At 35.8% G+C, this 16,451-nt stretch overlaps 1 protein-coding gene across 5 annotated transcripts in view; it reads right to left on the bottom strand.

Moving 5' to 3' along the window:
- The window catches only part of ESCO2 (establishment of sister chromatid cohesion N-acetyltransferase 2), a 47,687-nt gene that overhangs the window by 13,113 nt on the left and 18,123 nt on the right, over positions 1–16,451 (bottom strand). For 3 of the 5 annotated variants that reach the window (XR_949378.4, XR_007060703.1, XM_011544422.3), the window contains exons 8-11: positions 14,496–14,585; positions 13,737–13,880; positions 6,832–7,007; positions 3,175–3,242 (exon numbers count right to left, since the gene is read on the bottom strand). Coding sequence is in view for 3 of the 5 variants with exons in the window: in XM_011544422.3 (XP_011542724.1) it covers positions 3,175–3,242; positions 6,832–7,007; positions 13,737–13,880; positions 14,496–14,585 (478 nt within the window). In the remaining 2 variants the exon portion in view is untranslated. Of the gene's footprint in view, positions 1–1,231; positions 3,243–6,831; positions 7,008–13,736; positions 13,881–14,495; positions 14,586–16,451 lie in introns of those variants that run through there. The other 2 variants (XM_011544421.3, NM_001017420.3) reach the window with 1 other exon arrangement.

Here is a 16,451-nt window from a genome sequence, read left to right as displayed (position 1 = left end):
ATAAAATCCCAACAGGCTTTTTTGTTGTTGGTAGCTTTTTGTGGAATAAATTGATTCTAAAATGTATATGGAAATGCAAAGTCCAATAATAGACCGAAGAAAAAAAGTGGGACCATGTACTAATACTATAGCAAACATTGATACTATAATTAACACAGTCTGGTATTAGCATAAATAGAACCTATATAAAATTAGTAAGAATACACAGGCAGAAATAGACATACACATATATTGGCACAATTTATGACAAAGACCCCCAGTAGAATGCCTGAAACCATGGACAGTACTCAACCTGATTGCCCTCAATAGGAATATGTTTCTGTGCATGTCTTCTGCCCACAAATTTAATGCCTTTTCCATCTTAACTGAGCACTTATCACCCCACTGTGGCTACTCTGAATGGTGGGCAATTTAAAACTTATGAATTCCTTACTTCTAGAAATTTCCATGCAATATTTTTGGTAACAAACTGTGGGAAGCGAAATTGCAGATAAGGGGGGATGTACAAGGTGATCTAGGCTCATCTTGTACATTCATTGCCCTATCCCTAGAATGAGCCATTTCTCCAAAGAGCCCCAGGTCCTTTTGTGGAAGAAGGTATTAGTAAGCAAGATCTGGCTGGGTGCCGTGGCTCACACCTATAATCCAGCACTTTGGGAGGCTGAAGTGGGAGGATCACTTCAGCTCAGGAGCTCAAGGGCCTCAGGAGCTTAAGGACTGGCTGGGCACCATGGTGACACTCTGTCTCTACTAAAAAAAGAATACAAAAATTAAGCAGACGTGGTGACACACACCTGTAGTCCCAGCTACTTAGGGAGCTCAGGCGGGAAGATCACTTGAACCTGGGAGGTCGAGGCTGCAGTGAGCCGTGTTTGTACCACTGCACTTCAGCCCAGGGCGGGGGAAAAAAAGAAAGAAACCAACCAAGATCTGGGTGGTAGGTGTGCTCATTGCCATTAGGGTATCATTGCTTTGAGACCATCTCAGTGCACTTGCTTCTTGTATGTGTTATACTTAAAAACAAAACAAACAAACAAACAAAAAACACCCAACCAAGACAACAGTATCAATAGCAAATCATGCTAAATATTTAAAATAGAAATAGTTCTTGAAATACAACATATCTAAGACATACTGAAGTGAGGCAAGATGCAAAATAACTGCATATGTATTTAGTTATTCTAAAGTAATAAGCACTAAACTCAAAGCAGGATTAAGGGAAGCCTCTTCTTTTTTTTTTTTTTTTTTTTTTTTTTTTTTGAGACGGAGTCTCGCTCTGTCGCCCAGGCCGGACTGCGGACTGCAGTGGCGCAATCTCGGCTCACTGCAAGCTCGCCTCCCGGGTTCACGCCATTCTCCTGCCTCAGCCTCCCGAGTAGCTGGGACTACAGGCGCCCGCCACCGCGCCCGGCTAATTTTTTGTATTTTTAGTAGAGACGGGGTTTCACCTTGTTAGCCAGGATGGTCTCGATCTCCTGACCTCATGATCCACCCGCCTCGGCCTCCCAAAGTGCTGGGATTACAGGCGTGAGCCACCGCGCCCGGCCGGGAAGCCTCTTCTTTTGGCAATCTCTATTTCTGTATTATCTGAATTTTATTTAACATATACTATTTTCATAATAAAATAATTAAAATCAGATTTAGTTGTATAAAATAAAGAATTTTAATTGATTCATAACAAAAGCATTAAGCAAACAAAATGTTAATTAAAAATTTTAAATAAAATATTTAAAAGAAATAAGTGCAGAAAATAGCATTAAAATGTTTGCATAATTACATACATTTTAATACTTCCACATTCTTTTGGGGACCCAGGCTTTTAAATTTTGGAAACATGTTAACTTACAGGCAAATAAAATGAATGCAGATGAATAGTTTCTACATATAATTACAATCTGGAAAACGACTTGCCTAGAGTCTTATTGCCAGTTAGCAGTTGAATGATTTTTCAGAATCAAAACAATTTGAACAATGTTTTGCTTTTTAAAGTATCCAAGAATTACACTAGAAAAATGTGTGAACATTTAAGTGTATTTACACAGTTCCATGGTCTCTCATCCACCAGCCTATGTATATTTACTAACCTTGGTTCTATTACCATACATTTTGTAAAGACTTTTGCCAGGTATCTCAGAACAAGTAAGGTGCATTTTAAACAAGCAAAAAATTAGAAAATGAAAACATCTAATCCAACTAGGCATTTTGTTAATGACATCAATTGTCAGTAACAGGTTCCCAAAGTAGTACTACCAATATTTCCATACAACAAAAATTAACTAAGTAATAGTGCAATTACTAAGTATAATTTTAATTAAATCTGATGACAGGTAAACATTTATTTTCAAAAAGATTGAACACTAAGCTATCAAATTCTGCTCTACAGAAATGCATATGGGATAATCTTATTCCTTACCATCTTGTTACAAATAAATTCTAAACATTTTCTAAAGATATTCAAACTGAGTTACTACAGACGAGTGCCTATCAAGTGAAGACTCTGTATAGAGAAGTCAGGAATTAGGCTGGGCACGGTGGCTCATGACTGTAATCCCAGCGTTTTGGGAGGATCGCTTGAGCCCAAAAGTTTCAGACCAGCCTGGGCAACACAGTGAGACCCATGCCTCTATTAAAAAAAAAAAAAAATTCAGGAATTCCCTTTACAAATTGGGCACAGAAATTACTTGCCCAAGTTTAAATTTGCCTGTTTGCTTCTGATGTGGCATTAGATAATCCTGGTCTAAGAGTGGGCTTTATAAAAGACCAGGTCACATTTCTAGAGAAAAATCACTTTGTATTTAATACTCTTACAAAGAGTCAGGTAATTTTCCAGTTATAGCTACAAAGTTTCATAATTAAACATTCAGAGTGCTAATCAGGGAATCACCCAAAGATTTTTCCTTTGAATCCCCAGATAATTTTCAACAAATTTATTCCTGACTTTTCAACTCATAAGGAACAAAACTGTGATATGTGTGTGTGCGTGTGTGTGTGTGTGTGTATGAGTGTGAGTCTCGGTATTTTTTATTTTGATATTAAATAGTTTGTATTTTATAATAAGGAGCTCTTTGAACTTATCCAGATAGTAACTCCTTTATAACTGAAATCAGCTTTAACTATTAAAATTATATACGAGGAAATTAGGGGTGTTGCAGTACTTGGTTGCAAATAACTTGCCATCTGGTGTTGGGTCAGAAAATGCTATTTCATCAGTGCTGAGAAAACAGCCAAACATGAAGCAATTCCTAAAAGAGAAGAAAAGATGATTTAATGATGGAAGCAACTTAACATTCTAATTAACATGAGCACAATTTAAGTAAATACTCTTGACTTAAATCAACCTTATTTTTAGTAAGTGAAAAAATGCCTTATATTTTAGAGACAGAAGTCTAATGATATCATTTCACAGATGGGAAAACTAAGGTCCAGAAAAAATTCTGATGAGAGGCAAAGGGAACCATCCACCTAACTCTAGGATATCCATGGTAAAGAGCAACTAATATAAGATCATATTGCTAGGCCAGGCGCAGTGGCACACGCCTGTAATCCCAGCACTTTGGGAGGCCAAGGCGGACGGATCACGAGGTCGAGACTATCCTAACACGGTGAAACCCTGTCTCTACTAAAAATACAAAAATTAGCCGGGCATGGTGGTGCATGCCTGTAGTCCCAGCTACTTGGGAAGCTGAGGCAGGAGAATCACTTAAACCCAGGAGGCGGAGGTTGCAGTGAGCCGATATCTCGCCACTGCACTCCAGCCTGGGTAACAGAGTGAGACTCCAACTCAATCAAAAAATAAAAATAAAAAAAAGATCATATTGTTAATTAAAAGCCAAAGATAATTAGAACCAAAAAAAATCAATCTTAAGCAGTAACTATATATATATATATATAATATATATATATATATATATATATATTTTTTTTTTTTTTTTTTTTTTTTGAGACAGAGTCTCACTTTGTCGCCCAGGCTGGAGTGCAGTGGCACGATCTCTGCTCACTACAAACCTCCGCCTCCCGGGTTCAAGCGATTCTCCTGCCTCAGCCTCCCGAGTAGCTGGGATTACAGGCATGCACCACCACACCCGGCTAATTTGGTATTTATTTATTTTTTTTTAGTAGAGACAGGGTTTCTCCATGTTGGCCAGGATTGTCTTGAACTTCCAACCTTAGGTAATCCACCCGCCTCGGCCTCCCAAAGTACAGGGATTACAGGCAAGAGCGACCGTCCAGCCTATATATATTTTTTCAATGTAAACATCCACTGAGAGCTTTAAGAAGGGAAAAACTAATCTGCATTTTGACTACAACTCTCCTTGATCTTGCTTACCTTAGGATTAAAAGTAATAAGGAAATGGTTAAAAGAATTCAACATCTCCTACAGCTTGTTTGTGAAAGAAAAAAAAAAAGAATTAATCAAAATTGAGGGATATTCTATAAAATAACTGACTTGCACTCTTCAAATTTTTCCATGTCAAAAGACTGAGAAATTGTTCCAGATTAGGGAAGATGAAGATTAAAGAGACGTGAAAACTAAATGCTGAATGTGATACTGGGCAAAAAAAAAAAAAAAAAAAAAAATGCCATGAAGGACATTTGAGACAACAGACAAAAGTGAAATATGGACTGTCAAATAAAAGCATTACATCAATATTAAATTTCCCAAATTTGATAACTGTATCATGGTTATATAAGAGAATATTCTTGTTTTTAAGAAAAACACACCAATGCATGAAGGGGTAAAGGGGCATAATATATGTAACAAAATAATTCAGGAAGGTTATCTAAACATAGAATGGTAAAGCAAATGAGGTAAATGTTGAACTTAATAGATCTTGACAAAGGCTTCCTACTACTCTTGTTCTTTCGTAAGTTTGAAATTATTTCGGAATAAAAATTTAGAATTTGATTCAATTAGAAGATATAAGCTTCTAATATATTAACTATAATTAAATACATAATATGGTAGAACTAGGTTAGATACTGGTATTCCTCATACCAAATTTATATATCTAATATAAAACATAGAAAAGTATTTCATAACTAATCAAACAAAAATCTTTAAGATACCAATTTTTCCTACTGATACCCTTTGTAAGTATGTGTGATTGACTAGGATTTATGGCCCAAGATCCGGTCCCCATAATGGTGTTGGCATTTATTTTTTAAAAGTGGCATAGAATGCAAGAGGCTTGAATAACACTATTCCAAAGTGTGGTCTTTGGTTTGGTTAAAGTGTGCTTACTGGTTTGTAACCTATTATCTACACGATGAAATATGTGTAGAAATTGAGAGAGCAAGTGTTGTGAAACTCATCCATATAACCTAGATTAGGTAAATTAGCAAACAGGCTTGTTTGTGACATTGGAAACTTTAAACATCAATACATAGTGTCAGTTCAAAGTGTGTACATGGGAATTAAAACTGGACACTCATTTTTTTGGTTGAGATATAACTCATATACTGTAAGACTCACCCTTTAAAAGTGTACAACAGAGTGGTTTTGTGTATATTAACAAATATTGTCCAGTCACCACCACTATCTAATTCTAGAACATTTTTATCATCCCAAACCCCGTACTCATTATTAGTTGCTCTCCATTCATCTTTCCTCAGTCCCTGGAAACTACACATCTACTTTCTGCCTCTGGATTTGCCTGCCTCTTATGGACATTTTATGTAAATATAATCATACAATGTGCGATCTTCTGCAACTGATTTATTTCAATTAGCATAATGTTTTCAAGGTTCCTCCATGTTGCAGTGTGTGCCAGAATTTCCTTTATGGCTGAATAACATCCCATTGTTATTATTGTATCGATATATCACATTTATCCATTAATCACAGATTGGATTATTTACACTTTTTTGGCTTTTATAAATAATCCTGCTATGAACCTTCATGTGCAAGGTTTTGTGTGGACATGTTTTCTTGAGTATATACCTAGGAGTGAAACTGCTAGGTCACATAACAGTTTAACTTTGAGAAACCATCAGATTGTATTCCACACCAACTGCACCAGTTTACATTCCTACCAGCAATGTACAAGGGTTTCAGTTTCCTCTACATCCTCACCAACACTTGTCTGTTTGATTACAGTCATCCTACTGGGTATAAAGTGGGATCTCACTATGGTTTTGTTTTGTGATTTCCCTGATAAAGATGTTGAGCATCTTTTTATGTTGAATTAACCATTTGCAATTTATCTTTGGAGAAATGTCTACTGAAATTCTTTGTCCATTTTTAAATTAGGTTGTCTTTTTATTGTGTTATAAGAATTATTTTATGGGTATTAGACCCTTAGACAAATGATTTGCAACTATTTTCTCTCGTTCTATGGATTGTCTCACAAATCCACTTTTTTAGTTATGCTTATGAGTTATACCAAGTCTTCATTATCTAGTCACTATCAATGACCATGTACAGCTTCTGTAATTTTTCAAACCTTTACTTTGTATAGATTATATTTATTGAAGCGTAATTTCACATCTGTTAAGTCTAAAACAATTTGAGATTGTAGTTTTGTTTTTTCTATTTTTTTCTAGCAATCCATTTTTATTTTATTAGTGTTGGTCTGTGACAAATTAAACTAGTCCTTTAGCACAGGTAGTTTGAAAAGCAGTGGGCTAGTATGTTTCAGACCTGGAATGTTGCACCCTAGACTGAGTACATCTAGTATGGTTTTTCTAGTACCAATACCTTCCTTAGCCTGACTTTAATAGTATTTATACTGAAGTATCTTACCAATATCCTTCCCTTTAGCTCAGAAGCCGAGAGGTTCTGGGAAAGCTATGAATCTAAGGTTCTGGATCTAGATCCATTTTATTTCTTACCTGAGGGTATCAACCAGTCGTCTTGCAATGCGCTTTCTTCTCTTCAGTCTGAAAACCCAGATTCTACTTATCCCACAGACTGCAGGTTCTGGTACATCTGAACATTGCCAAGCCCTAGGACATTCCGTAGAGCTTGGGGATTCTGGACCAATTGGTTCAGACAGGACACGAAATGCCTGCAATGATATACAGAAGCATCTATAGCTAACACCACAGATGAGTTCACACTGCTTTAAAAAAAAATTCCTTAAATAAGTATCAAAAATTTAACTTATATCTCCAAGTATGTTAAAAAATATTTTCTATTTCTTAAATTCTTATCCCTTTAGTCACACAATGCTTTAAAAAAACTAGTGGTGTTGAGACATTCACAAATTCTAGTGTGTCCCATAGCATTACGAGACTTTCCTCTTAAACAATTGTAAACATTAGACTCTTCCTTTTAATAAAGTATATAAAACTCTCTCATTCTCTCCATCCTAAAATGTATATATGACCACCTAAAGAAACCAGTAACACTAAAGAAGATTTATATCTATTAACTATGAAATTTGGTTGGCATTTCGTTTCTTAAACATTTTTATTTTGAAATAGATTCATAAGAAGTTGAAAAAAACCACTACAGAGGAGCATGTATCCTTCCCTGAGTTTTCCCCAATGATTACATCTTCCATAACTGGTATAATACCAAAACCATGAAATTACCATTGGTATAATGGTGTGTATAGTTTCATGACACTTAATCACACCTGTATATACATTTAACTACCATCACAATCAAAATGCAGAACTATTGAGTCACCACAAAGATCTTCTTCCTCATTATAGTCACATCCACACTACCCCCTCTCCCATCCTCAGTCCCTGACAACCACCAATTTATTCCCCATGGCTATGAGAATGTTATATATTATATAAATGAAATCATATACCATATGACCTTTTGAGATTGGCTTTTTCCCACTCAGCATAATGCCCCTGAGACTCATCCAAGTTGTTAAGTGTATCAATTCTTTGTTACTTTTTATAGCTAAGTAATATTCCATCATATGGCTGTATCATAGCTTATCATTCACCTAAAGCATTTAAGGACACTTTGGTTGTTACCAGGTTTTGGCTATTACTAATAAAGCTGCTATTAACATTCTTGTACAGGTTTTTGTGTGTACATCAGTTTTCCTTTGTTTTACTTAAATGCCCAGGAGAACAATGGCTGGATCATATAGTAAATACATGTTTAGTTTTTTTTTTTTTTAAAGAGACGGAGTCTCACTCTGTGGCCCAGGCTGGATTGCAGTGGCACGATCTCGCTCACTGCAACCTCCACCTCCTGGGTTCAAGTGATTCTCCTGCCTCAACCTCCCAAGTAGCTGGGATTACAGGCATGCACCACCACGCCCAGCTAATTTTTGTATTTTTAGTAGAGGCGGGGGGTTTCAGCATGTTGGTCAGGCTGATCTCGAACCTGACCTCAGGTGATCCACCTGCCTTGGCCTCCCAAAGTGCTAGGATTACAGGTGTGAGCCACTGCGCCTGGCCTATGTTTAGTTTTTAAAGAAACTTCAAAACTTTTTCCAGAGTGGCTGTAATATTTTACATTCCTACTAACAAGGTGTGAGAGATCTGGTTTCCCCATATCCTCACTAGCATTTGGTATTGTCTCAATTCTTTACCTACTGTTACCCTTCTGACAGGTGTGTATTTAGTTTTTAATTACGAACAACACAACATTGTTTCTGACCTGAGAGTAGAAGAGAACAGTTAGTTAGCTACATCTTGCCTATTATCAGGACATAACAGTCTACTTCTTTGAGATCGAAGAAGGAAAAGGCCTCTTAAATAAATACACAACATAAAAAGATGTAAACTGTAAAATTAGTAATGTTGAAGGGAAAAAAAGTGCAGAGCTTTTGTAGGTGATATAAATTGTTATCAGCTTAAAATAGGCTGTTATATTATAGGATATTTTATGTAAGCCTCATGACCATAAAGCGAAAACCTATAGTAGATACATAAAAGATAAAGAAATCAAAGCACACCACTACAGAAAATCATCAAATCCCAAGGAAGACAGCAAGAGAGGAAGAAGGGAATATATATAAAACAACCAGAAAACAAAACAAAATGGCAATAGTAAATCCTTATTTATCAATAATTACTTTAAGTGTAAATAGAATATGTTTGCCAATCAAGACACACAGAGTGGCTAAATGGATAAAAACACAAGACTCAACTAAATATTGCCTACAAAAGACTCACATAGACTGAAAGTGAAGGGTCAGAAAAACGACTCCATGCAAATGGAAACCGAAAGAGAACAGGAAGTACCTACACTTACATCATACAAAATAGATTTTAAGTCAAAAACCATCAAGAGACAAAGAAGGTAATTATATAATAAAAGGGTCAATTCATTAAGATAAAACAGTTGTAAATACATATGCATCTAACATTGGAGCACCTAAATATATAAATATTTAGGATTCTGAAAGGAGAAATAGATAGGAATACAAAATTGTAGGGGACTTCAAGATCCTACTTTCAACAATGGATACATCGTCCAGACAGAAAATCAATAAGGAAATGAACTTTTTTTTTCTTTCTTAAGAGATAGGGTCTCACTATTGCCCTGAGCGGAGTGCACTGGTGCGATCATAGCACACTGCAGCTTCGAACTCCTGGGCTCAAGTAATCTTCCTGCCTCAGCCTCCTAGGTACCTGTGACTATAGGCATGCACTACCATGCCTGGCTAATTTTTGTAAAGACAGGGTCTCACTATGTTGCCCAGGCTGTTCTTGAACTCTTAGCCTCAAGCTATCCTCCTGCCTCAGCCTCCCAAAGTGTTGGGATTACAGGTGTGAGCCACTGAGTTCAGCCAGTAAACACTGAACTTACACTTCAGACCTAATGGACCTAACAGAAACACATATAGTATTCCATCCAATAGCAGCGGAATGAATGCACACTCTTTTCAAGTGCACACAGAACATTCATAGCAGTATAAAATTAGAGATCAATGACGGGAGGAAAAGTAGAAAACTGACAAATATGTGAAAATTAAACCACATGCTCCTGAACAACCAATGGATCAAAGAAATTAAAAGGGAAATTGACAAATTTCTTGAGACAAATGAAAATGGAAACACAACACACCAAAACCTATGGAATGCAGCAAAAGCAGTTCTACATAAAAAAAGAAGAAAGATCTCAAGTAGCCTAACGTTACACCTCAAATAATTAGAAAAAGAAGAATAAAGCCCAAAGTTAGTAGAAGGAAGAAAATAAAGATCAGTGGAGATAAATTAAACAGGGACTCAAAAAATAGAAAAGATTCGCAAAATGAAGAGTTGGTTTTTTGAAAGATAATTGACAAACCTTTAGCTAGACTAAGAAAAAAGAAGACTCAACTAAACAAAATCACAAATGAAAGAGGAGACATTACAACTGATTATCACAGAAGTACAAAGGATCGTAAGAGACTATGAATAATCATATATCAACAAATTAGGTAACCTATAAGAAATAAATTCCTAGAAGCATACAACCTACCTATACCAAATCATGAAGAAACAGAAAATCTAAACTAACCAATAAAAAGGAGATTCAATCAGTTTAAGAAAAAAAAAAAAACTTGCATCATAGGAAAGCCCATCTGTAATGACATCACTGCTAAATTCTACCAGATATTTAAAGAACTAATACTAATCCTCAAACTCTTCCAAAAAACTGAAGAATACCTCCAAAGTCATTTTGCAAGGCCAGATTAATCTGATACCAAAGCCAGAAAAGGACACTACAAGAGAAGTTACCAGCCAATATCCCTGATAAACAGATGCAAACTAGCACATTAAAAGCATAGTACACCATGATCCAGTGGACTTTATCCCTGGATGCAAGGATGGCTCAATACATGCACATCAATGTGTTACACCATATTAACAGAATGAAGAACAAAACTATATGATCATCTCAATACAGAAAAGGCATCCAACATCCTTTCATGATAAGAACTCTCAACAAATTAGGTACAGAAGGAATGTACCTCAATATACTAAAGGCCATATATCACAAGCCCACAACTAACATCATACTTAGCAATGAAAAGTGGAAATCTTTTCCTCTTAATCAGGAACAAGACAAGGATGCTAACTCTCATCATTTCTATTCTACATAGTTCTGGAATTCCTCGCCAGAGCAATTAGGAAGAAAAAAGAAAGGCATTCAAATTTAAAGGAAGAAGTTAAATCATCTGTTTGCAAATGACATGAACTTATGTACAGAAAACCCTAAAGCCTCCACCAAAAAAACTATTAGAATAAACAAATGCAGAAAAGGTGCAGGATACAAAATCAACATACAAAAGTCAGTAGTGTTTCTATACAGGAAAAACAAACTATGATCTATCTTAAAAAGAAGTCAAGAAGACAATCCACTTATAATAGCATAAAAAACCCCACTTATGAATACATTTAACCAAGGAGGTGAAAATCCATACACTGAAGACCAGAAAACACTGATGAAAGAAGATGAAGAATATCTACATAAATGGAAGGATATCCAGTGTTCATGGCTTGAAAGAATTAATATCGTTAAAATGTCCATACTACCCAAAGCAATCTACAAATGCAATGCAATCCCTATCAAAATTCTAATGGCATTTCCACAAAAATACAAAAAACAGTCCTAAAATCTTGTGGAACCATAAGAGATTCCAAACGGCCAAAGCAATCTAGACCAAAGAGTAAAGCTGAGGGGCACTGCACTCCTACTGGCATTAAAAAACACAGCAGCCAATGGAACAAAACAGATAAAATAAATCCAGGCATTTAGAGTCAACTGGTGTCTGACAAACATGCCAAGAACAAACAATGGGGCAAGGACACAGTCTCTTCAATAAATGGTGTCGGGAAAAATGAATATCCACAAACAGAAGAATAACATTGGAGACTTATCTCAAACCACATACAAAAATCAACTCAAAATGGATGAAAGACTTAAAATGAGGGACCTGAAACTGTAAAACTATAAGGAAAAAAATGAGAAAAAAGCTTGACATCGGTCTGGGCAATAATTTTTTGGCTATGACCCCAAAAATGTGGGCAATAAAAGAAGAAATAAATGTAACATCAAACTGAAAAGTTTCTGCATAGTACAGAGTGGATAAACACAAACTAACCAACCTACTGATTGGAAAAAAAATTTGTGTATACAATAGGGGATAATATCCAAAATATATAAATAACCCAATACCAAGAAAACAAATACTCTGATTAAAAAATGGGCAAAGAACCAGAATAGATATTTTTCAAAAGAAGACATACAAATCAGGAACAGACATATGAAAAAATGCTCATTCAACATTACTAATTCATCAAGGAAATGCAAATTAAAACAAGATCACCTCACGCCTGTTAGAATGATTACTATAAAAATGCAACTACCATATGCAGCAATCCCACTTCTGAGTGTATATCCAAAGGAACTGAAATCAGTATGTTGAAGAGAAATCTGTACTCTCATGTTCATGGCAGCATTATTCATAGCCAAGATATGTAATCAACGTTAAGTGTCCATCAATGGATGAATGAATAAAGAAAATGTGGTACATATACAGGTGGAATACTATTCAGCCTTTAAAAAGGAAATCCTGACATTTGCAACAACATGAATGAACCTGGAGGACATCATGCTAAGTGAAATCAGTCAAGCAAAAAAGAAAAATAGTGCAACATCTCACTTACATACTGAATCTAAAGAAGTTGACTTCATAGAAGCAGAGTAGAATGGTGGTTGCCAGAGGCTGGGGGAGTGAGAGATGGGAGAAATGGGGAAACGTTGGTAAAGGGTACAAAGTTTAAGTTCGCATGAGTAAGTTCTGCAGATCTATTGTATGGCATGACTGCAGCTAATGTATACTTGAAAATTGCTAAAGGCCGGGTGCGGTGGCTCATGCCTGTAATCCCAGCAATTTGGGAGGCTGAGGCAGGTGGATCAGGAGGTCAGGAGTTCAAGATCAGCCTGGACAACATAGTGAAACCCCGTCTCTACTAAAAATACAAAAATTAGCCAGGCATGGTGGCACGCGGCTGTAGTCCCAGCTACTTGGGAGGCTGAGGCAGGAGAATTGCCTGAACCCAGGAGGTGGAGGTTGTGGTGAGGCGAGATCGTGCCACTGCACTCCAGCCTGGGCAAAAGAGTGAGACTTGGTCTCAAAAAAAGAAAAAAAAAAAAAAAAACAAAGAAAAAGAAAATTGCAAGGAGAGTAGATTTAATGTTCTCATCACAATAAGTTGGTAAGTATGTGAGGTATAGCTATATTAGCTTGATTTAGTCATTTTACAATGTATACCTATATCAAAATATCACATGTACACTGTAAATATTTGCAATTTTTGTCAGTTATACCTTAATAAAGCTGAGGGGGAAGGAAAAGGCCAAACTGATCACTTATACTGGCAAAAATACAAAAAAGCTGCTTTTCTCTCCAACTTCTAATAACACAAGGAGAAACTACATGTCTTCTAGAACATTGCTAATTAGTACCTAAATTAGATTCTAATTAAGGGATAAGTAATGACTATTTTGCCAAAAATATTAACCTTCACTAAGCCACATGTTTAAAAATTTCAGTTTATAGATTTGTTTACTTAAAATCACTAGACTTTATAATCCAGCTGTGTTAATGACTACATGAACATAAAAGACTGGCTTACCTATCCTGTTTATACAAAGCAAAATTCCAAATATTAATGGAAATAAATAACTTCAATTATCCACTAGGTCAAGGATATTTCAGTAGGAAGAGTGTCATTAATGGTAGCAATCTTAAATGCTGAGACTTCTCCCAACTTTTCTTTATTTTGCCTGCAAATTATGCCAATAATTTAAAACAAATATACCATACCTGTTTGATGGGTTCTGCAATTAAACACCCAACTACTCTCTTTTCATCAGATATAAAAAGAAAAGTTTTTATTTTGTTTGGACATTTAGGAACAACTTGCTGGAAGCCCAATTCATTATCAACAAGTTCTTGGACATCTTCTACCTAATGATTTTAAAAACCAAGACAGGTGAATGTTTTAAAAAGTACAATAGAAACTATACATATTTATATACACAGAATGTATGATTACTGTTACTTTAGCCTCTTTAATTTCTATTTCTTAAATTTATACACCTCCAAAATTATTTCACTATTGATGCATGTAGCTGCTACTGTGGAAACAAGGTTTTAAGAACCTATTTTAAAGATCACTTTCAGCAGAAATTGAGACACCTGGGAGGGATAAGGAATAGGAAGCATTAAAACAGATTTGTTTTAGCTTTATTCATTATTCACGGTGGCTAAACATTCAACCTCAGAAACACAAGCAACACCAATATAAGAAATAGACCCTGGGGGCCATTAATTTCTCAACATTGAAAGCTTAGTTTATCTTTCACAAGGGAAAGATGAATATAAAAGATAAGCTGTGGAGCCTTATCTGCCTTCTTTACTCCTTTGTCCTACAATTCTTAGTTTTGTATAAATTGCTATGAAAGTAATCATTAAGCAGGTACCCAAGTGAATTATCTGTCAGCAAAGGCAGTTTGCACTTCAACATAGGTTGATTTCTTGGGGGTGGGGAAAGGCAAGAGATAAAAAGATAATGTTCCATACCTTTTTGATAGCAAAGCTTGGATCATGTGGCAGAACCAACACGATTTTCCCATCCCAAAACTCTGCTACTACACGTTCTTTCTTCCAACCCTGCCAAAGGAAAACAAAAGGGTCACAGTTTAATTTGTGAAGAGGAAAAAAAACCAACATTAAATAATTTGATGTGGAGAAGACAAAAGGCTAAACAATAATAGATATAAAAAGAAGAAGATGAAATCCAACTAAAAGTAATGTGGGAAGAGAAATAAAAGATGCCTAAAACAGGTATCTGGCCTCAACAAGCTGATATCCTATCTGAAGACATGTATATGACTATAAAACAAGGTAAAGAGGTAAAGGTGCGGTGGCTCACACCTGTAATCCTAGCACTTTGGGAGGCCCGGGTGGGTGGATCACTTGAGGTCAGGAGTTCAAGACCAGTGGGCAGGTAGGGGAGGGGTAGAAGAATAAGCCAAATTCCAAGAAAAGGCTAAGTAAAAGTCCTTATACGTTTGTCCCTTATGCTTGACAAGACCACAGATGGGTGCAGTCTTACAACTATTTTAATCTCAACCCCCAGCATAGTGCTTTGGCATGTGGCCCTAGTCTTTGAATGATACTGAAATATTATGGTACTGAAAAGGGTTTAAAAACCTTGGTAAGATGTCAGTGAGCATAATGGGGAAGGTGGTTAACTTGCCTTCAGGCTAAGGCAACTAACTGAATAAGCAAAGGTGCAGAGAATGGCAAAAAAATCTGGTATAACTGACTGATTGGAAAAAATGAGGTTGAAATATTAGAAATAAATTTAATAAGATCCATGACAAAACTATAAAATGTTCCTGAAAGACATCAAAGATATGAATCAATCAGAGGTATACTAAGTTTCTAAGTATACACTAGGTTTATACTACAGTATATACTAAGTTTATATAATAGTATGTGCTATACTAAGTTCCTAAGTTATACTAAGATTTTTTTTCTCTAGAGAAAATGGCATTAGTTTGACTAGTTTGAATAAAAATTCGAATAGGTTTTTCATTTGGGGGGAATGTGATAGGCTTTTTAATTGAAAGAGTAAATGTGCAGAAAAAGTCAAGACATTTTTTACAGAGAAGGATGAAAGGGAACTTACCTAACTATACAGTATGAAGCTACATTTATAAAAGTATGGCACTAGCACAGGAACAAATGGATGGTGCAGAAGTGTCCAATAACAAACCCATTTATATGTGGGAATTTGGTATGCATTAAACGTGGCATTGCTAATCAGTGTGGAAGATAAACTAGTCAAACAGTAATGTTGGCACACTTTGCAGTCCTTTAGGAAAAATATAAGGATCCATCTCTAACACTATGTCTTGAAAAAATTCCAGTGGATTAAATGTCTAAATATAAAATTTATAGCTATAAATTTTTTTAAATATAGGAAAAACTTACTAATTTTGGGACTGAGATGATGTTCCTGACTTAAGAAACCAAAGGTCACAAACTAGCTAAATAAAAATGTTTTCTTTGTAGCAATATACACCACAAAAAGGTTAAAAAAATCCAAGTAATGGTATTTGCTTGTATATGCAGAAAATATCTCTGAAAGATATATAGATGAATCTGTTAATGCTGGATGCCTATAGATAGGGGAACGAGGTTTCTGGAAGGGGTATGGAGAAACACTTTTCACTGGATATACTTTTGCATTCTGTGAAATTTGAATCATGTGAAAGTATTACTATATCAAAAATATAAATTCAAACCTTAAAAAAAGGGACAGGGAGAATGTATTTGTAACCCAGGAATGATATTCAAAATATATAAAGGATAACATGCCCAGTATGTTTCCACAAATTAAAGAAAGAAATCCCGTATGGTATAGTCTGGCTTCATCAGAGAATGTGGCTTATTCCAGCGGCAGGAGCTTAGAGCTGGAGAGGGAATGTGTCATGTGACAAGGTGGGCAGGGGCCAAATATGAAGAGAT

The sequence above is a fragment of the Homo sapiens genome, chromosome 8 (assembly GCF_000001405.40).
Source record: "Homo sapiens chromosome 8, GRCh38.p14 Primary Assembly".
Classification (NCBI taxonomy): domain Eukaryota; kingdom Metazoa; phylum Chordata; class Mammalia; order Primates; family Hominidae; genus Homo; species Homo sapiens.
Note: the sequence above shows the minus strand (reverse complement) of the source record. Positions and strands in the feature narration are given on the sequence as shown.